General features: G+C 36.9%; 1 protein-coding gene across 1 annotated transcript in view, besides 1 other annotated feature; it reads left to right on the forward strand.

Annotated features, from left to right (window-relative positions):
• Nucleotides 1,058-23,756, forward strand: part of FABP7 (fatty acid binding protein 7) — a 34,874-nt gene continuing 12,175 nt past the window's right edge. Inside the window, exon 1 of the mRNA NM_001319042.2 lies at nucleotides 1,058-1,191. Within this exon, the coding sequence (NP_001305971.1) occupies nucleotides 1,131-1,191 (61 nt within the window). The 5' untranslated portion in view covers nucleotides 1,058-1,130. The remainder of the gene's footprint in view (nucleotides 1,192-23,756) is intronic.
• Nucleotides 7,565-8,144: an enhancer, noted in NCBI's record as "NANOG-H3K4me1 hESC enhancer chr6:123076853-123077432 (GRCh37/hg19 assembly coordinates)". NCBI's record gives its function as "activates a minimal SCP1, AML or CMV promoter by ChIP-STARR-seq in naive and primed H9 embryonic stem cells {active_cell/tissue: H9 hESC(naive and primed)}" and the evidence as "EXISTENCE:reporter gene assay evidence [ECO:0000049][PMID:30033119]".

A 23,756-nucleotide genomic window follows, 5' to 3' on the forward strand; every position in this document is an offset into this window, starting at 1 on the left:
AAAGTTCTAAGTTTTCCTGGTATCATGATGCCTCTATAGTCTCCCTTAAATCCCTTTTTGAAATTTTTCAATATAGTTCCTAGTGGGGTGGGCTTACTTTGTGCCTGACCCATATTTCCTCGAGACAAAACACCACACTCACACCACACGCACACCACAAAATGAAGAACGGGTAAAAAGGGCACACACACACTTTTACAGTTTACACCAAACCAGAATCAAAACCAAAATCAGAGTATCAAGAAATCCAAGCCAGGTCAAAACCAAAACCAAAGTATCAAGCAATTCAAGTCAAGTCAAAAACAAAAACCAAAGTGCCAGTACAGGCATGCTGTGGGTGATCAGGCCATGCTTCCACTCAAATGGAGTGGGCAAGTTCCAAAGACTAGTCTTACCAAGTTTCAGATGTCCGGACTCCAAGTGCCAGTTCCTTCCCGGTGTTCAGCCACTGTGTTGATCCTCCACGGGGGCCTGCCATGTGCTGCTCTGGCGAGGCATTCCACTGGGGCAATTGCCTACCCGGGAGCGCTCTCAGGATCCACGTCGCTCAAGCTGGCCAGAGTCCCCTGCAGGGATGCTCCACAGGGCAGGCCTAAGCCGCCTAAGGGGCTGCCTCCACTGTCCGTTAATCACCACGTTTCCTGGTCAGGGAACCAAGAAATGTAGCAGGACAAGCCGCAGACAAAACCCCTCAGACACTGAGTTAAAGAAGGAAGTGGTTTATTCCACCGGGAGCATCAGCAAGACTCCTGTCTCAAGAGCTGAGCTCCCTGAGTGAGCAATTCCTGTCCCTTTTAAGGGCTCACAACTCTAAGGGGGTCGCTTGAGAGGGTCGTGATTGATTGAGCAAGCAGGGGGTACATGACTGGGGGCTGCGTGCACCGGTAATTAGAACGGAACAGAATAGGACAGGGATTTTCACAGTGCTTTTCTATACAATGTCTGTAATCTATAGATAACATAACCAATTAGGTCAGGGGTTGATCTTTAACTACCAGGCCCAGGGTGTGGCACTGGGTTGTCTGCTTGTGGATTTCATTTCTGCCTTTTAGTTTTTACTTCTTTCTTTGGAGGCAAAAATTGGGTATAAGACAATATGAGGGGTGGTCTCCTCCCTTAAACCTGGTGGAATGCAACTGAAGGAGAAGGATTGGAGATCTGCACTTATCAAAACAGCAAATCAACAAAAAGGTAAACAGCTTATTTTTCTGAATTTTGAAAACATTTTATGATGCTGCCTACATTTATTAAAGAACACATGACCATAATGATAATAGTGAAAATTAAGTGATGATTAATAGTCTCTCTCTCTGTTTTTATGTGTGAATATTTCCATATTAGGAAAAAGAAGTGTCTTTGTTTCTTAAGGTCCGATGCTCCAAAATGGAATAACGTGACTTATAACCCTAAATATCTACTCTCATGACTGACACCACCCAAGATCCAGGGAATCACTTCATATATATCCTTTCCAGTATCCTATATCCTTGAAAGAGAAGGCAGCTGTATTTAAATGCCACAAATGTTTGTGGGCAGTTTCCTTGCCAGTCTGCAAAACAAATAATGCTTTGAGTGGAGGGAAGATTTGAGCAGGGGAATCATTTAGCTAAGATAAAAGACAAATTAACTTGTCAAATGATTTCTCACAGACAAGAAGAAGGCAGTAGATTCTTGTATTATAAAAGATCATTTCCCGTAATACCAAGCATACTGTTTCTTGCTTCATTTCATGTTGCAGTTTATGGTTCCAGTATTAACCACAAATCATGATGACATTCACAACAGTTGCACCTGGTGGCTGAGGGACATTTTATAGAATTAAGTTATTTATGTTACTTCTAGACATAACATGAATTGTGATACCAGCTCAACTAGCTGAAAATTGAACACGGGAATTATGAGTAGTTTGAATTGTATTAACATACACAATAAGATTTATGTAAATTTTTAAAAATTAAATAAAAACCTTAAATATTCAATTTTAAATTTTTATGTTTTATAATTTTAATAACTAATGTTGAATATTTCATGAGATAATTTTTTGAAAATGTAAAAAATAATTTTAATTTTTGAATTAGTTTACATTAATTTTAATTTGCTTTTTTGATGAAATAGTATTCAAGCTTTGCATGCACTGAATATGATTACATATTGTCTTTTCATCTTTTAGAATAATTGCTACCAGTAGATCTTAAAATAGGTGAAAATATTAATAATTATTATGAAATAATCATTTTGCTAAAATGAAAGCAAGAAAAACACATTTTATGTAATAAATAATAGATCAAAAATTAAACTTGTCTTTATTACTGATTTATACATTAATCATGCATCAACAGTACAACCAGACATGTGCAATAATAACTAAATTCATTTGTCTTTGATATCTTGCTAGTTTTCAGCCTTATGAAACCATAGTGTTTGTTACCCATGTCTTTGGATTTTTTCATTAGGAAAGTGTATTTGGCAAGGTAGGGAGATAAGACATATGTTTAATGGTATGTGAGCCTTATTTTTACCCTCCCCTGGGCCCCACTGCTGTTAAAGGAAGAACTAAACAAAGAAGACAAGAAACTTGGTCTAAACCGGAATGTTGTGTGATAATTTAAGGTGTTGATAAAAGCAGACTTTAGTCTCAGGCAAAGCCAGTGAAGAGAGAAAACTGAAGTCAGGAGTTAGCTGATGAGTGGAAGAATAAGGGAAAGTTGAGAGACTACGCTGAAAAGTTCGGATTTTGAAGCTTTGCCTGTTCTTTTGGACTGCTTGAGTTACTCTGACTTTTTCTGTGTTTTCATGCCAATTATGCTGTTATTTTCAGTCTTTATTAGCTGGTTTATATATCACCTCATAATTCCCAATAGATATCTTTAGTGGGTTCACATGTCTGTGTGAAAATTTAGGTATGCAATAAAATCATATGTATTATGAATAAATAAATATGTGTGCTTAAATTTTTTTCTTTGAGTTCTCTAGTCTAGAAGGTATCATAAAATTGTTGTCAATTAGTTCCACTTACTCTAAATTAATTCAGAATTTTTATTCTTAACCTCTGCATGCCTGTTTTCTCATCCATAAAGTGAGTACTATAGTGGTATTTACATCATAGGGTGGTTGTGAGAATTAAGTGTGTTAATATACGTAAACTACACAGAATATGTAAACTACATGCCTGGTCCCTACATAAATGTGTGCTTCTATTCTTACTGCCTCATCCTTCCTGTTGTCCCTATATTGCAGGTGATGGTGATGGGCTGTGAGGAAGCCAGGTACTGTGGGTGCATCTTGTCCTCAATTTTCACCATCTATGCATGCAGGCATCTATGCCGAGAAGTCTTCCTTTAAAGCTTCCACATAGTTACTACCACATCCTGTCTAAAAGACCCTTCTGGTTTCACTTTACACTTAGTTATTTTCACTTTTTTTGAGCACATAAGAAACATTCAGCTCGGAAATTCTGTGTCAGAGACATCTATTTAAATAATGCAAATGGCACATTCTATTATTATGCTCTGCTATGCTGCAGAACTCAACAAAGCTTTCCACCTTCCACTCCACCTGGGAACTGAGGTACAAACGCTTCAACCCTCATATCCTTCCAAATTTAAGAAGGATTTCTACCTTGTACACCTATTTCAGCACTCAGCCTGAGGAAGGGAAGCCGGCAAAGGAATCTGGGGCTCCTCAGGGCCTTGCTAGCTCCCAGGCTCTCTTGCTTCCTCCCCATCTCCCTCCTTGCTTTCCTCTCATCCCTCTGCCCCAACCCAGGTCATCTTTATTTCCTACAGATCTTATAAAACCTGAGCTGGAGGACTGGCTCTTATGTCAGCAGACATTCTCTCAGGCCCATTGTTTATATCCCTGGGTCCCCAAACCCAAATGCTTTGACTTCTGTAACTGAAAAACCACCACCCACCCCAGCTTTCCACCCCTAACCCCACCACCATCTCCCAATTTTCTTTGTTAGCAAACCTCCCCTAGCAACTTTTCTAATGTACTAATTTGATTGAGGAAAAGGCAAAGGAGCAAATATAAAAAAATCAATGATTTATATTTCAAAATGTTATTTTGTTCTAGTAACTCTGTGTTCTGAGGAAGAAAATTGACTTCTCATTTAGATGTGTTCATCCTTGCCTGCAATCTTTAAAAGGGTGAGAATTAGTTTTCTGTACAGAATCTATTTCACAAAAATAGTAAGTCCCTCAATCATGCATGCATGCACTCTGTGGTTCTATGGGTAATATTTCCTAACCCCTCTGCAGGGTTAAACCTAAATAGTGGGTTACATCTGCAATCTCTTTGGCTAGAATTGTCAACATTTTATATATAGGGGATTTCTTTCCTCTAAATGTTGGCCTAAGCCATTCCCACCCCCAACCTTACCCTCCTGGAGATATTGGCATGATGCTGGCTGAATTTCTCCTTTATGAATAAGCTCTGAGGAAACTTCTTGCATAAGGGGTGAAGAGTTGGTTTTTCTATAGATAGAATCTCTTGGACCTTTGTCTAAGCTAGTACACTTCTGAAAGTGAAAGGGGACACTTAATAATTATGCCAGGACACCATGGGTGAATTTGGATAGTCTCCAGCGAAGTAAGCCTTGTGGCTCTATTTAGAGTTTACAGACAGTGTAGTCTGTTTCCCAACCCAAAATTTTAGCCATCTCTACCCCCTCTACATTGTTATTGCCTAGTCTTTTGCCATCACCTGCTTAGTTCAAGAAAGTTATTAGTCAAGCTGAGGCTTGCATAGGGTTAGTGGTCTCTCTCTGGTTTGTTGAGTCCACTAACTAAGCCTGTGTTGTTTCCATTGTTTTTTGCTGTGGTTTCTTTAAGAGTCCCAGCTAAAGACAAAATGCCATTTTCATAAAGGCAAAGCAAAAGAAAGATGCTTACTCTAGACAAAATGCTTAGCAGCTCTCTGAAAAAAATTCTGTCTGCGAGACTAACCGTTTCTCTCTGGCTTTATAATGAAATTCCAATTCCTCTTCAAAAACAAGATCTGTCTCCCAGCAGGTGCCCAGGCCACTGCTTTCTGGCAGCCCTGCAGGGTAACTTGGGCTATCTGTATTGCTGTGCCTTTGTAGATATCTGTTTCGGAAATTCAGAACTTCAAGAATGGGCTCTAAAGATAATTTTCACCCCTCCCTAAGTGTTCTCCACTGATTTAGCAAATTGAATCTTGGCAATTTACAAGGCTCTGCTGCCTCTTGTTTCTTTCTTTACATAGACTTCTGTGCATCTACTCAGAAAATTGAAAGCATTCAGTAATTCGCTCACACTCAGTCTCATCACTGTCTACTGGTTTATCTAGAACCGTATTGACCTTGGAGTCTGCCTCCTCCCCAAGTTCTCGCCCATCTGTCACCTCAAGATGACTTGCTGTGGTGCACATATTTGTCATGGATGAGCTCCTACACACAGTGGGTACTGTCACCGATAGAGGGTCATGACTGCAGGTTGTCCAGGTTCTTGGCATTTTGAACAAAGAATTGGATAAAACGCCCAGCAAAACGAAGGAATGAAGCAACAAAAGAACGAAAGCAGGGATTTATTGAAAATGAAAGTACACTCCACAGTGTGGAAGTGGACTCGAGCAGCAGCTTAAGGGCCTGGATACAGAATCTTCTTGGGTCCAAATCCCGCCCCCCCCCCGCCCACAGAAGTTTTCCATTGGCCACTTCATGCTCACCTCATGTAACTGAAGTGGTAGCTGGCAATCAGTCTGATTGGTTGCAGACAGCTACCATTCAGAGGCTGGAGTGAAGTTACAAAGTTGCAAACAAAGACCAGACGGGCACTCAGGATAATTTGTTGCCAGTCTTCCATCTGCCACGCAGAAAAGGTCAAAGGGAGAAGCCTCTGGTCCTTTTATTACTTAGGCATGGAAAGTTAGGGTTTTCCTTTCAATTTAGTTATAGGAAGTCAGCATGAAACAGCCTTAGGTTCCCTGCCTTCAGACCCTATTCTCCTGCCTCAGGTACCATTATCAGCTCACAACACTTAGCTGTATAAGAAATATAATTTTATTTTTCTAAATTTAAACTTAGTTTTAAATAGGAGTTCCACAAAGTGGTTTCTGCCTAATCTTTTTCAATCCTAGATAAGCTCAGTTCACTTAAGGATGGTCTTCAGTTGATGAATGTGTTATATTTCATAGAGAAAATTAAACAAATATTTCCTCATCTTCTTCCACCAAACCACCAGCTTCCTGCTTCAGTGTCCACGTGCTCTGCCTTCCTCCTCCCTATTTCAATGGAAGAAATGTCTCCATGCCTGAGGCAAGTCCTCCACTGTGCTGCAGCTCTCAGACGCTTCCAACTTCTGGACGACTTTTCTGAAATGATCCACCTTTTCTTCATTTGCCCCAAGACCTTCAAGATCTCAACTTTTGTCAAAGGTTCAGGCTTCTTAAACTGAAAAACATTCGCTTTAAAACTCCTTCCTCCCATGCTCCCCATCCCCCCACCCCCCACCCACTTTTCAGTGGTAACAATGGGTGTTTTGTCCAATTCATTCAGATCATTGTTTCCTTCTGTCTCTGTGTAGCCTCCTTTGAAGTACATGTGCTAAGACTATCCTCTTTTCCGTCCCCACTTGTTAGCCTAAGAACTTCCCCTCATACCTCTTGATTTCATGAAAATTGAATTACCTGGCTCACCACCTATCTCTTAAACTCAGCATCATTTTCATAGCCCTCGCACCCACACAGAAGATCTATCCAACTCCCAGGACTTGCAGTTCCCTGGTGTCCCTTTCAATTACAATGTTCTCCACCTAAACTCACCAACCTTTCTACTGGTTATTTCCCAGGTATTGACATCACCACTAACTGTACCACTCCCAGATTCTCATTCTCTAACAATCACTTTTTTTTTTTTCCAGTTCACTACTTCCAATAGTGCTACTCCAAAAGGCTTTAACACCAGGGATTTCTAATCAATTTACTCTACCATTTCTTCCCTGTGTCCTCTCTCTCTCACTTACTCACCTTGCCAATACTTGGCTTATATGCCATGATCTATTGCTGTACTTCCTTGCATATATCATAAAGTCACTTGACCCTTTCTCTCTCCATTGTCCTCACCAAGTGAAACTCAACCCTAGCAAAATTCATCTCTCTTCCTACTCTGGGCTGCATTTGAACACTAAAAAACATGTACTTCTTTTTATTATTAATTTACATTTACGTTACATCTCATTATAATATAGTATGAACTATTATATTATAAAATATATTATAAAGTGTGAATTTTTACTTATAACCTTGATTCTTAAGTGAGAATTCAACATTTTCTACTCCTCCCAATATGTTTTGTATTTTTTTTTTTTTTTTTGAGACGGAGTCTCGCTCTGTAGCCCAGGCTGGAGTGGTGCAATCTCGGCTCACTGCAAGCTCTGCCTCCCGGGTTCACGCCATTCTCCTGCCTCAGCCTCCCGAGTAGCTGGGACTACAGGCGCCTGCCACCACGCCCGGCTAATTTTTTTTTTTAATTTTTAGTAGATATGGAGTTTCACCGTGTTATCCAGGATGGCCTTGATCTCCTGACCTTGTGATCTGCCCGCCTCAGCCTCCCAAAGTGCTGGGATTACAAGCATGAGCCACCGCGCGTGGCCTCCTCCCAGTATGTTTCTTGAATGAATACCTTCCCAATTTCTATGAGGTGCTGGGTCTGACCAGCAGACCCCAGCCAAACGACAGATGAAAAAATTCACACAGACACAGGTATCCATTGAAAGAGTGGGTTAGGGGACCAGGCCACTTAAAGACATCAAGGAGGATGCTGTAAAGAGTCACAGCGGCTGCAGTCCCAACAAGCCAGTGCTGCGGGCGTTTATACAGTACAGATTTAATGACAAAGGCTTTGAGTCAACACACTTGTGGGTAATTAACATGGCCGCCCCTCCTCCGGGGATAGAGCAGTTCTGCGCTCCCCCCTTTCCCCTCCTCTCCCCAACGGGAGAGAGCAGATGATTACAGGCCAGGTTCCTGGAGACATGAGTAAACAAGCTATTCAGATAAACTCCCCTGCATTCTTTTGTACCTACTTCTCGCCCTTTGCCCTGGGGTAAGAACCACCGCCTTTGGCTCATTCTTCCCCCAAGCTTTGCAAAACCTCCTGGCCTTCCAAGAAGGTTTGCATCTTTCTATAATTTTTATAATTTTTCCCACCACCCTGATTGAACTCCTACAGTGAGGTAACTATTTCATATTTTCCTTAACTGCTGAAATACCTTCCCCTCTTCATTCTATTAATGAAGTTGCTTCTAATTTCAATGAGAAAATAGACCCAATTAAAAAGGACTTCCTGTCGGCACCACCATGCTCACCAACATATATGCATCTGTAGCAATATAATCTGCATTCTACTCTCATCTAACCTCAAACTTCTACTTATATCCCATGTCCTCTGTTCTCTTGCTCACTGAAATGCTTTGTTCCTTCAATCCTCTCTATCTAACTACTGCCCCAATTTCTGAGTCCTTCTTTATGAAAAATTCTTTAAAGGACTTGTCGATAATACATCCCGTTTGTCTCTTCTTAGTTTCTCTTAAAGCCACTCTCCTCCAGTCTATGGAAATCACTCATCAAAGTCATCAATGACTACTACATTACCCAGTCTGAAGATCAACTCTATCTTTGTCTTTCCCAACTTCTCATCAGCACTTGACAGGTGACCACTCACTCCTTAGAGCGCTTCTTCCTTTGGCTTCTGATATATGACACTATCCTTGTTTTCCTCTCATTTCACTGGCCTCTCTTTCTCAGTTTCCTTGTCTGGATCCTTCTATTCTTCCTGTTTTATGAAAGCTGGAGAGTTCCTAAGGCTCAGGCTTTGAATCACTTCTTTGCACTGTCCACATTCACTCATGGGAAACTAAGGGTTAAGTGATCTATTAATAATTTGGTCCCATGGCTTTAAAGATCAATCATATCTTCTGGTTTCTCCTAAGTGTATATCTTAACCATAAACCTCTCTTATGAACTCCAGACTGCTATATTCAAAAGTCTACCGTCTGATATCTGCCTTGAGTGTATAATAGACATCTCAAACTTATTTCCAAGAGAGAGATACTGATTTACCCCTTCCAATCCAATTTTTTCTCTTGGTCTCCACAGTATGCTAAGTGGAATTACAATTCAATCAGTTCTCCAGCCAAAAGTCTTGTACTCTTTCTTGACACCTCACTTTTTATATGTGGGACAGCATCAGATGCACTGGGGCTGAGTAGGAATCACCGAGAAGATGACTGAAGACTAAATATCGTGATACTACTATAAAGACCATAAATTCCTTTCTGGCCCTAGGCCCCTGTCCCTGTCATGTCATGCCCTGTCCTCAGATATTAGATGCAATGTCGTAGAAGAGGAGGAGGGAGTCCTTGAATTGATTTAGCAAAACATTCAAATCCCTCAATAATCACAAATTAAACAGAGTTTGCAGAAAAGTGACTGAATAGAGCTTTCTGCTACTAGATACACATGAGAAGTTGAGTCAGTAATGAAGTTCAGATAAAAACAAGACAAAGAAATACGTTACTATATGTAGGTCTGCGCTGAAAATTTGTACCCGCTAACCTTGAGGCTTCTCTCCTACTTGTGTGGATTGCAGGCTTTCTTTCATGATTGGCTGGTTCCTTTAGGGGAGGTGCATGCGTTCCAAGGAGTCTGTTAAGGTGCCGGAATAAAATATTAAGGTACTAAAAGAAGAAAATATTAGTATTCCCGTTACTATTTAATTTTATATAAAATGAGATAGAATTTGATCTTTACTAAGATTTATATGTGGATTGACACTGGTCCTTTACTTAGACATGTGTCAGTCACTTTTCATAGTATCCTGAGGACAGAGTGAACAATGGACAGGGGCAGTCTCACTTTTCATCCATTTTACCTTACTGGGCTTTACTTCATTGCAATGCAATAAAGCAAATTAAGTAAATTTGTGAATTATATTATCTAGCTTTTTTTTTTTTTTTTTTTAATTAACAGAGTCTTGCTTTGTTCCCAGGCTGGAATGCTGTAGCACAATCTTGGCTCTATGCAAACTCTGCCTCCTGGGTTCAAGCAATTCTTCTGTCTCAGCCTCCCAAGTAGCTGGGATTACAGGCATGTGTCACCACATCTGGTTAATTTTTGTATTTTTAGTAGAGACAAAGTTTTGCCATGTCGGCCAGGCTGCTCTTAAACTCCTGACCTCAGATGATCCGCCCACCTTGGCCTCCCAGTGTTATCTAGTTTTAATTAAAATGAGACTAAAAGACTGGGAGAATGTCTGTAAAACAACTGAGGATATAAGACAATGCTAATGCTATGTGTACAGTCTAACAACAAAAGATGAGTGCTGATAGGTGTTCTATTCCTAGTGCAAGTTCTTGTCAATCAAATTCTAAGGTATAAATTTGGGCCATATAAATAGTTTTAACAAAAAAAATCGCTAAGAAAGTTCATAATTATAGGATGACTTGAAATGTGAATTTATGTCCATTGTTCCTGAAGATAATCCTTACCCTAAGTATATGCTGGGCTTTGAAATTGTAGCCAACAGTATTATGAAGCCATCTACAATTAGGAAGACAATATATAAAAATATTACTTATGTCATCTTCATCTCATTGTCTCCACATTATATTTTATATGTTTTATAATGTTCACACTATGTTAATATGGTAATATGTGCATATAAGTTATGAATAAATAAATATACATATATCAGGTTGTCAAACTTTTTTGATGGGGTAAAACATAAAAATTATTTAGGGACCACTGCTCAATAGGACAGCAATTAGCATGACTGCTTCTAAATCTTATAGTGGAAAATGGTAGAGCTACACAATGCTCTAAAGAGTTACTTAAAGAAACAAGCTCCCTTGGGACCAACATAATATTCTGTTCTCTTCTTGAGTTTTTCCTTTATGAAGTTATAAAGCAGGGCCACTAGGTTTCACATACTTAGAATGAATTCCATGCTCTCCCATTCATTAATTTATTCAAACATACTTATGAAGCCTTTCCTTTTTGTAGAGTATGACAGTACAGAGCCTAGATGTTCCTCATGGGGGTTTCCAAATCAGGTAGCAAGAATTCTTGCCAACAATTCTAAACTGTTCTCGGTATTTGGCCACAAACTTCCCCCATAGGGTGTGTGTCAGCTATGCAAATTCAATTACAGAAAGAGGTCTGTCATTGCTCAAGCTAAAAATCTAGACATCCAAATAAATTCTAGTTAATTTGGTTAAAAACTGATTTCCAACAAAGGGCTATTTTTCTTCCTTCTTCTTTTCTTCCTATTTTTCTCCTTTTGATGCATTAAAATAATGCTACAAATCATTACAAGCATCCAATCTTAATCAGGCTTAATCAGAGGATACAGAATTTAATAATAGCTAACATGGATTGAGTACTTGCTGTGACATTCTTCTAAGCACTTTATTTGTAGTAACTCATTTAGTCCTTACAACTACTGTTTAACTGTGACAATAATGCTTATTTTAAAATTAAACTGAGGCACAGAGAAGTTAAATTAGTTAATTTTATATATGGTGAGGAATATAAGGAGGCAGGATTTAGCCCCTGGCAGTCTGGCCAAGCATACATGCTCTAAATAACTATGCTACAATACTACTCTAGCCCACTTATGATTCATTTGGAAATGCCATTTTTTCTTTTTTTTAAACTTTATTAAGATATAATTTACAGGCCGGGCACAGTGGCTCATGCCTGTAATCCCAGCACTTTGGGAGGCCAGGGGGTCAGATCACAAGGTCAGGAGTTTGAGACCAGCCTGGCCAATATGGTGAAACCCCATCTCTACTAAAAATACAAAAATTAGCCGGGTGTGGTGGCGGGTGCCTGCAGTCCTAGCTACTCAGGAGGCTGAGGCAGGAGAATTACTTGAACCCAGGAGGCGGAGGTTGCCACTGCACTCCAGTCTGGGCGACAGAGCGAGACTCTGATTCAAAAAAAAAAAAGATATAATTTACATACCATAATTGTACCTATTTAAAGTGTACAGTTTAATAGTTTTGACCAAGGTACACACCCAAGTATTCAAAGAGTCAGTCGAGATGGAGAACATTTCCATCACTGTTAAGAAGTTCCCTCATGCCCCTTTCAAGAAATAATTGAATAATTGATACTTTAATCCTGTAAAATGTTCCTCTTTGTCCCCAGTGAGGTTCATTGTCCTGAAGTCTACTTTATCTCATAATATAACCATTCCAGCTTCCTTATCATTAGCATTTGCATGATACATTTTCTTCATCCTTTTAACATATGTGACTTTATATTTATAGTAAATTTCTTGTAGACAGCATAATTTGGGGCCTGTTGTTGTTTTTTTAAGTTCTACCATCTTGCTCTTTGATTTCTCTTAGTCCTATCCATCTGCTCTTTGTTTTTTTTTTCCTTCTGTTCCTGCCTTCTTTTAGATTAATTGAATTTTCTTTAGCATAGTAATTTATAGCAACTTTTGGCTTATTAGCTATACTTCTTTTCACTTGATTTTGACTATGAAAAATATGATTGGGGAGTGATTTACATTGTAAAACTAATCTTTTATAAGTGGTTCTTTTTTACAAACAGCAAATATCTTAATTTGCTGTAACATTATATTGAATTTAAATGATATTTAAATCAAACAATTTTGATATATAATAGTGGCCAAAATTGATATAATAAAAACTGCAAAATGCTAGAAATGAGAAAATGAATATATAATAGTGATATATCACTATTATAACTTAAATGAATGCTTTGCAGCTTTGTAAAAGATTAGTACATGGTTCCTCATTAACTAATCAGATTTTTATTAAAATTCATGTCAAAGCAAGATTTATGAGACTTCCAGGTTAAAGTTAGCTTTATTTATCTGTGAACTCAAACATAACTATTTAGTTCTGTCCCTCTTCCCCAATTCTGTCTCTTAAAAGTTTAAAAATATTTTCTATCTCAAAGTTTTATTTTGGTAGAATTGTTTCGTTTGCTTTGAACTTGAATCGTGAGAGCATCTAGATAACTGCTTCCTGAGGTATGAGATAATGTTTTCCTGCAAGGTGACTGTTAACATACACAGTGGAAGACCTCTTAACTTGTCTGATAGGGTTTCTATGAGGTTAAATTTGAAAATGAGCCAAATACTATAGAAATACCAAAGAACTCTAGGACATTAGACAAAGAAGAAACCTAAGAGATGATCCAGAGTAACACTGTGATTTTCAGACCATTACTTATATGCTAAAGAAGTTAGGTTATCTAAAGATATACCCTGTGTTTTGAAACTGGCCAGACTATATCATTTATGTAAAGATGCACCCTGTATTTTGAACCTGGCCAGTAATCTTTCAGAGTCAAAACAAGAAAATCTTCTCGTAATAGGATTTCAATATAGGGCAGTCAAAGATTATTATATTAATTGATCTAAGTACTAGATCCAAACAGACTTATGATTAAAAATGCTAATCCCTGGGTTGTAGAGTTTGCTTCATTTTGGTTTTGTTTTAATTATTTTGAAACCCACAGCTATCTTAAGGAGAGCAAAAGAATTGATAACACATACTTAAATGTAGAAAATAAATATGTTACCCAAAGAAGTATCAAATTTTGGAATAAATGAAGTCAAAACCTCATGGCCTCTAAATGAGAAGACTTCATAAAATAATAATTTAATCCTTTCTGAAAAAGAAATCAATTTTAACTCAATTCTTTTCTGTTTTTCAAGTTTTGAAAAGAAGATGTTCAAATTGAGGCAACAATTAATAGCCTACCAACCAAAAATGGTCCAGGACCAGACGGATTCACAGCCAAATTCTACCAGAGGTACAAAGAAGAGCTGTTACCATTCCTTCTGAAACTATTCCAATCAATAGAAAAAGAGGGAATCCTCCCTAACTCATTTTATGAGGCCAGCGTCATCCTGATACCAAAGCTTGGCAGAGACACAACAAAAAAAGAGAATTTTAGACCAATATCCCTGATGAACACTGATGCAAAAATCCTCAATAAAATACTGGCAAACTGAATCCAGCAGCACATCAAAAAGCGTATCCACCATGATCAAGTGGGCTTCATCCCTGGGATGCAAGTCTGGTTCAACATACACAAATCAATAAACATAATCCATCATATAAAGAGAACCAATGGCAAAAACTACATGATTATCTCAATAGATGCAGAAAAGGCCTTTGACAAAATTCAACAGCCCATCATGCTAAAAACTCTCAATGAACTAGATATTGATGGGACATATCTCAAAATAATAAGAGCTATTTATGACAAACCCACAGCCAATATCATACTGAATGGGCAAAAACTGGAAGCATTCCCTTTGAAAACTGGCACAAGACAGGGATGGCCTCTCTCACCACTCCTATTCAACATCGTGTTGGAAGTTCTTGCCAGGGCAATCAGGCAGGAGAAAGAAATAAAGGGTATTCAGTTAGGAAAAGAGGAAGTCAAATTGTCCCTGTTTGCAGATGACATGATTGTATATTTAGAAAACCCCATCGTCTCAGCCCAAAATCTCCTTAAGCTGATAAGCAACTTTAGCAAAGTCTCAGGATACAAAATCAATGTGCAAAAATCACAAGCATTTCTATACACAAATAACAGACAAACAGAGAGCCAAATCATGAGTGAACTCCCATTCACAATTGCTTCAAAGAGAATAAAATACCTAGGAATCCAACTTAAAAGGGATGTGAAGGACTTCTTCAAGGGGAACTACAAACCACTGCTCAATGAAATAAAAGAGGACAAAAATGGAAGAACATTCCATGCTCATGGGTAGGAAGATGCTATATAGTGAAAATGGCCATACTGCCCAAGGTAATTTCCAGATTCATTGCCATCCCCATCAAGCTACCGATGACTTTCTTCACAGAATTGGAAAAAAACTACTTTAAAGTTCATATGGAACCAAAAAAGAGACCACATTGCCAAGACAATCCTTAGGAAAAAGAACAAAGCTGGAGATACCATGCTACCTGACTTCAAACTATACTATAAGGGTACAGTAACCAAAACAGCATGGTACTGGTACCAAAACAGATATATAGATCAATGGAACAGAACAGAGCCCTCAGAAGTAATTCCACACATCTACAACCATCTGATCTTTGACAAACCTGACAAAAACAAGAAATGGGGAAAGGATTCCCTATTTAATAAATGGTGCTAGGAAAACTGGCTAGCCATATGTAGAAAGCTGAAACTGGATCCCTTCCTTACACCTTATACAAAAATTAATTCAAGATGGATTAAAGACTTAAATGTTAGACCTAAAACCATAAAAACCCTAGAAGAAAACCTAGGCAACACCATTCAGGACATAGGCATGGGCAAGGACTTCATGACTAAAATACCAAAAGCAATGGCAACAAAAGCCAAAATAGACAAATGGGATCTAATTAAACTAAAGAGCTTCTGCACGGCAAAAGAAACTACCATCAGAGTGAACAGCCAACCTACAGAATGGGAGAAAATTTTTGCAATCTACCCATCTGACAAAGGGCTAATATCCAGAATCTACAAGGAATGTAAACAAATTTACAAGAAAAAAATCAAACAACCCCATCAACAAGTGGGTGAAGGATATGAACAGACACTTCTCAAAAGAAGACATTTATGCAGCCAACAGACAAATGAAAAAATGCTCATCATCACTGGTCATCAGAGAAATGCAAATCAAAACCACAATGAGGTACCATCTCACACCAGTTAGAATGGCAATCATTAAAAAGTCAGGAAACAACAGGTGCTGGAGAGGATGTGGAGAAATAGGAACACTTTTACCCTGTTAGTGGTAGTGTAAACTAGTTCAACCATTGTGGAAGACAGGAAGGCGATTCCTCAAGGATCTAAACCTAGAAATACCATTTGACCCAGTGATCCCATTACTGGGTATATACCCAAAGGATTATAAATCATGCTACAAAGACACATGCACACGTATGTTTATTGTGGCACTATTCACAATAGCGAAGACTTGGAACTAACCCAAATGTCCATCAATGATAGACTGGATTCAGAAGATGTGGCACGTATACACCATGGAGTACTATGCAGCTATAGAAAAGGATGAGTTCATGTCCTTTGTAGGGACATGGATGAAGCTGGAAGCCATTATTCTGAGCAAATTATTGCAAGGACAGAAAACCAAACACTTCATGTTCTCACTTATAGGTGGGAATTGAACAATGAGAACACTTGGACACAGGAAGGGGAACATCACACACCAGGGCCTGTCATGGGGTGGGGGGAGTGGGGAGGGATGGCATTAGGAGAAATACATAATGTAAATGACGAGTTAATGGGTGCAGCACACCAACATGGCACATGTATACATATGTAACAAACCTGTGCATTTTGCACATGTACCCTAGAACTTAAAGTATAATTAAAAAAAAGAGAAAACAAACAAGACAAAGAAAAGATGTTCAAAGGAACTCATGAACTGTTTCATTTATGACCCATCCCCTTTTTGTTAAAAACTGCATATCTTCCCTTGATGTTGTAAGTCAAAACGATGGCAATTTTGAACATGGCTTATGAAACTGAATACATCTTCCCTGCCCACATGCAAGACCCTTCCCTTTGGAAAGGGATGTGTGTATGTTTGTCTTTTCTACGAGTTGATGATCATTGCCTTAAAGTGTTTGCCATTGTTCAGAATCTAGACTTAATCCTGAGGATTTTGAAACATGATTTGACAGCAAAACTTGATCTTGTCTCAAACAGCAGACTCAAGCAACTAGGCTGTCAAGACTGTTGTATGCAATCAGACTTTACTAATTTGCAAGGGAAATATAATTGCAGAGTAAATGGTGTTACCAAGTCCACTGCCTAATGTAGTTTCTTCCTGCAGATAAGTAACATGAAAACATTATAATGAGAATGCCAGTTGATTGATTTTCAAAGAGAAAAATCTTCTTTTACAGGCACATGTAATGGGAAAAAAATGAGTCTCAGCTTTTTCAAAACATTTGTAACATTGCTGTGTGTTCATTTGGTATCTCAATTCTGCAATGGAAAAGACTATGGGCAATCATACTTCTTATGACATTACAGGCATCTTTTTCTCTGATTGAATGTTTATTGGATTTTTTCACTTATGTTTTATATTTATTGATCTGAATTATATTTGATTCAAAATACTGCTAGAATGAGAAAGTTTAGGTCCTTTTTTCATTAACCAAATCAGCTGGCATGGCATTTTGACCTCTATCTATCTTACATAGAGAGTTTAGATAAAGATAGATCGATTTAGATATGTATCTATATATATATAGCCTATTTTCAGCAAATGAAAGGTTTCCTCAATAATGCTTTTGTTTATTGCATATATTTTATATTCCAGTTCTTTTGATGTCATTCTTGGTAATCTGTGCCTCTTAGGCTATCTATTCTGTCTTGTCTAATATTTTTATTTTCACTATTCAAAATGTCTCTGCATTCTGAAAGTTCTCTTCAAACAATGGCATTCTATTCATTACTGTCTCCTATGTTGATCTGATTCCTTCTATTTAATTATTAATTTTCTTTAATTTTTTCATTACCTCATTTTATTTTTTAATTTTAGCCTCCCCACCTCCCTTTCATCTGGCTCATTTTTAAAATTTCAATCTGTTCTCTTCTTAGGAATCCTTGCTCCTGTGTCATAGAAGCCACTTCTACCTACTGATATGCCAAAGAGACTTTTTTTTCTTCTTTTTGCTTTGATCATTTTCTGAGAATATACTCTTATTCTCTGTCTTCAAGATAATGTGGCCTCTACTACTTTATTGTTTTTATAGCTCTGCCCACAGATTTCATGCTGGATTTGATTATATTTTGCTTCTCTTATTCAAGCAAAGAGAAATATTTATCAAGACCTGAAATTTTGTTACAAACAACAGGAAAGGATCTTTTTTTTCTTTCCCTCAACATGCTGTCATATGGTAACTGATAGAGTTCTGCTCTCAAATATGTAGCTAGAGAATAGGTTTAGAGGATCAGCTACCAGTTTAGAAACTGCTGTGAAATGAGTTGGGATATTTTCTACACCTATTGCCTACTTCCCTGAGGCTTTTTAACATATTGTATGCATATTCATTAGTTGCTGCTTCAAGTGGTTTTTAAGTATTTGTTCAAGATGACAGCAACTTTTATGTAGGTACTACACTTCTTAGGGTACAATATGCTACATTCAGTCCTTCTCTAACTTTGAGTGGTTGAAGAAAGAAGAAAGACTGTGCAGGAAAGAAGGAACACAGCTGTAATCACCTAGAATGTAGTGTTTCTGTTTATAATATCCAAGGAAAGATATATTGCCAGATTTCTGGTTGGCACAGACCTAGCATCCCACATCCTGGAGGCAGATGGTAGAGTAGATCAAAGACTTGCTTGTTTTATTTTAGGTCTTAAAGTCCATACAGTATTAGATGATAAAGAGCATATAACCCACCAGCATACACATTCATAATAAAAATGATTAGGGAATCAGGAATTTTAGGGAAAGGTTTTACTACTAAAAAGTGATTTTCTATAGAAAATTAACATCTAGAAGTGATATAAATAGGTGAACATTAGAAGCATTCCTGGAAAAATCAAGAATGAGACAACAATACACAGTATGGTAGCTTATATTTAAACTGAATTGAAGTCCTCAGTGCAATAATATTGTAAGAAATATTAAACTGGAAAGGAGGAAATTAAAATACCATTAATTGCACGTTTTATGATCATTTACATTGAAAAATATTCTACAAATTGTTACAAATAATAGAATAGTGTAGCAAGCAGACTAGATATAATATGTTTGCTAAAGTCAGTTGTATTTCTATATAACAGTAACAAACTAATAGAAAATTAAAGGGAAGACAACATTTTCAGTAGTCTCAGGGAACCTCAATTATCTAAGAATAAATCTTAAAAAATATGTAGAAAAGCCCTGCAGGGGAAATTATAAAACATTATTATGCAATATTAATGACTACATATGTAAAAAAGTATATCATTTTCATGACTAGGAAGTCAATATCATAGAAGTATCAATTCTTCCAGATCAATATATAAAATAGATATGATTCCAATGTAAAAACATAATTTTTTATGGATGATAATAAAATGATAGTACCATATATACATATATTAAGGGCCATAAATAGGATATTTCTGAAGAAGAGTAACAAATTGGGAGACTTGCTTTTCCGGTTATTAGGACTGTCATGAGGCTATAAAAATTGACAGCTTAGCAATGTTAGAAGGTTACAAACCTAATTGATTAGTGGAATTAAAGAGGGTTCAGAGAAATATATTAAAATACATAGAGGACTTCGGTAAATCACAGAGATGGTATTCCATTTAGGTGGTGAAATGTTCAATAAGTGGATTGGAAAAAATTATTATCTACATATTCAAAAGTGAATTTAAAACCCTACTTCTTATGATATACAAAAATCTACTCCAGCAAGTTAACGGTTCAAATGTTAAAACTTTAAATCACTTGGTGGCCAGGCATAGTGGCTAATGCCTGTAATTCCCCCACTTAGGGAGACAGAGGTGGGGGGATAGCTTGAGCCCAGGAGTTTGGGACCTGCCTGGGCAACATAGCAAGACCCTGTTCTCCACTAAAAGGAAAAAAAAAAAAAAAAGAAGAGAGAGAGAGAAAAAAAGGGCTTGGTAGAAAATATAAGTGAATATCTTTTGGACCTTGGGTAGGTGGTTTCCTTAAATAAGACATGAAACATATTGACAATGACATAAAATATTAATAAATTTGGCAATATTAAAAATAAGAACTTTTGGTCATAAGAAGCTACTTTAAAGAAAGTGAAAGTAAGTTACAAACTGGAAGAATATATTCATGACTCCCACACTACAAAAATTAGGATCAACAATACAAAATAAGAAAAACACAACTAACCTACAGGCAAATGGGCAGGAGAACAGACATTTCACAGAGGTAGAAATCATAGACCATTAAACATATGAAAATATGTTCACTTCATTCATGATTAGGAAAATACAAGTCAAGAAAAAATTAGATGTCATTGTATATGCATCTGATTGGTCACCATTGAAACTCTGTCAATATTAAGCATTGGGGAATATGTTGATCCACTGGTGAGAGTATAAATTGGTGAGTCCACTTTAGAAAACAATTTGGCATAACCTTCTAAAACTGAAGATTAACCTATGACCAATCAATGATCCATCAATTTCAATTCAAACTATGTGCCCAAAATAAACTATTGCACATGTAAAAAAGTTAATTCCTAGCATATTACATAACAATGTAAAACATTTTATGAAGATTACATTGGTATATATGTTTTAAGAAAATATGTAGATGCACTGAACTAAATAAAAGCAAAAAAGCAAGTGATGAGCATGAGATTCAGGAAGATGTTTACCTTGAGTTGGAGAAAGTAAGGAAATGGATGCAGGAATGTTTTCAAAGTCCTAGGCTTTGTTTCGAAAGGAGGATTCACATGTGGGTGTTTATTACATTAGTGAAAATAATTATGTAATTAGCCAAATAAATGAAAATTGGACCAACATGGACAAGTGATAAGATTATGACACTAACCAACGGGTATGATTAATTTAACTTTGTGCCCCCAGATAATCAGAATTTTCTCTTAGAGAAGGAGCTGTATTATATTAGAAAATACTTTAATAAGCAATTAGTACTGAGGTCATGGATTAACAGGTGTCAAAGAAATAAAAGAGATGGCTACATTACTCTAGATTAGAAATGAATAGGGATTTCTTCCTTGTTGGAAACAAGGAGAAAGGAATGAGGATATCACCATTCGAACAGGTTTTGTATTTTTGCAATATTAACTGTGCCTTCCTAAAACTTCAGGAAAAAGCACCAGACTCAAAAATGCCTCCTGTCTGGTGGTTTCTCTGTGGAAACAAAGGAATGACATAGAGTTCCACATCTACCTGTCATAGTTCAAAACAGCTTGAGCACTTGAGGGTAGAAAAGCAAACCATACCCTGACATTCTCCATTGGTAGCAGCAGCAGGAATCTGGAAGTGACCCATGAAAACTCACCTCAGGGTTTTAAAGATATCATGATGATGACATGGACTTTCAAGGGAAATTCAAGGTTTCCCCAATAATGTTTTCTATCAACTACTAATTTCCTTTTATATATTACAGATTACACAATGTATAAAAGCAGCACTCCTCAAGACTCAAAGGTCTTCAAAAATTGCTGCTCACTATAATTTATAAATGATATATTTGTAACATAATTCATAACATAATTTATAAAATTAAATCCTATTGTAAGCTCTGTTTCTAAAAGTACATAAATATACAAAATTTATTATTATATGTTTACGTAGCATCATTTTACTTGCCTTCAATGATTAGCACTTTCTTGTACGTACTGGAGAGGCAGAAATAAATGCATTCAGAAAAATGTATTTGGTTTCAGAAACACCTTAACTTACACAGAATCTCTCATATTTATTTATGTCTACAAATGTTATTTTTAGGATATTAAATATTTCCAAAAGGATAGAAAATTAATAGGCCGAGTAGAAAACTTACGAAATGCTGGCATTTTCTTGAGTCTCGAATGGAGACTTCTCTGTTAACAAATTGAGGAGTACAAACGTTTGTAATGTCATTCCCATATTTTTAAAAACAACAGCAAAAATAGTGTAATCCTAATGGTTTCAACCGATCTGGTCAGTTAAAAAAGTTGCTTTGCGGTGAAAGAAAAAGTAAAATAATGCCGCAATTTTATTTTATTTTAATTTTATGCTGCTAAAATTCAAACAAAGGCTTATAATACTGTGTTTCCAATCAGCTATTGAATGAGAAATATTGCAGATTTCAATGGCCCGCTTGTAATTTACAATGATGTTATTTATCAAACCATATTGATAGCTTCTTCAACAAATTCTCTTGCAAATAATGTGTTGCACAGACTTAAATTTCAGTTAGAAAATATTTACATGAGAATTATCTTTTTTTTAATGAGAATAAATATATTTCACTCATCTGGAGGCCCAAATGAACCAGTGGCTCTCTTGGAAGAGGAATTTTTAATGTCCTCAGGCATGTTCCCATAAAAGTTAATGGAGAGTTGATTAAACTTTGGGGATCTTGGAAATTTATATTTAGATTGGGGATAGTTTTAATTGTAACAGCTTTTCATGTTAACATTGGTTTAGCATATTTCATCTTTAGGGTAGTTATAGGTCATATTTCTTCCTTGCTGCATAACACAAGACACTTTTATCTGATATGGAGGCAGTCTTGGCATAAGTCACACACCATTTCCACGATCATCAGTAGGGTCAAGGAATTAGTAGTAGCATCAGTGGTCTTGTAGTCCTACTTAGTACTTAGCACTGAAGAAATATTAGAATCTAAATTTACTAATATGATTCTGACAGACTGGAATGTACTAGTTTACAAGTTAATAAGGCATTAAATGTATTACATACATAGGATTTCAACTTAAGATTTTGTTTTTCAATACAAAGTTCAGCCTTACCCCCAGACTGCCTATGTCAAAATCTTGATAAACTTGAAATCTCTATAAATATAAATCTTCCCAGATGATTCTAATGATCTTCCAGTTTTAGATACTACTACTATAGAATATTTTCAGACCTATACGATCTCTGTCTTTACTTTATTCTCCCCTTTTAACAAACACATTTAAAAAATGTTCATTTATCTGTGTGATGGATGGGGTGTGGTAGACTGACTTATCTGATTCATGCTCTGCAGAAGCAGCAGAGGGTAAAACAGTATTTCCAAACTTCCCTATACCTACACTTGATTTAGGTTTTGCCTATTGCATAACTTGTGCAATATACTTGTGTAAGACTAGATTTCAAAATGTAAGTAAGTGGTGAGACAGAATGCACACAAGTCATACATTTGCTGTTGAGATTCAGCCCATATGGTGTGGTTTTGGAATCAGTACTTCTGAGCAAAGCTCTCATTTCTAGGCAACAACTAGCAGGATATTTGGGAGCCAGCAGGTGGCAAAGCAGGTTCCTGATTCCCAGCTTCCCAATTATGTAGAGATAACTGTTGCCTTAGCAGGTCAGTTTATGCGGTGGTGTTCTGGGAGTATTCCTGAAAGCTTAGCTCAACCTAAAACCTGCTATTTCAACTATTCCAAGTGTTTTGTAAGCATCTAATTCCCTATATGTTGTCCTGTTTCTGTTAAAAATAGCTAGGGTGGTTTCTGTAATCTTCAACTGATCCCAGATTAGTAACTTCCTTTTATAGCTACCTACCTGTTAATCATTGCTCAATGTACACAGTAATCAGCAGAGATCAGTAAACAAAAAAGATCTTCAAGGAATATAAGAACAAAAAGTTCTTGATTGATTTACAAGTGATAATAACCCATAGTAAACAGATCAGAGGATCTATAGAAAGGACAATTACCATGCATACTCATTGGCATCAGGCTTCCACATATGGCATGGCACAAAACTCTCCTACTCTTGCATTATTAAATCCATCATGCATTTGAACGCTTATTAAAACTATTCTGTGTGCTTTCATTTTAAAGAAAAAACCTAAAAACAGTGAGCCTTAATTTCCTCTTAAACATTAACATGATAGGATTAAAGAAGAGGCTTAGATACCTTTCTCTGGGGATCATATATGTTGCAAAGAGAAGAAAGGTTTGGCTGAAAACTTAGAAAAGATCATATGAACTATAGTCTAAATTCTTATTTTTTGACCCTTTCTGGTTTTCTGTATATTTCTATATTTGTTCATATGTTTG

Source organism: Homo sapiens, chromosome 6 (assembly GCF_000001405.40).
Source record: "Homo sapiens chromosome 6, GRCh38.p14 Primary Assembly".
Lineage (NCBI taxonomy): Eukaryota > Metazoa > Chordata > Mammalia > Primates > Hominidae > Homo > Homo sapiens.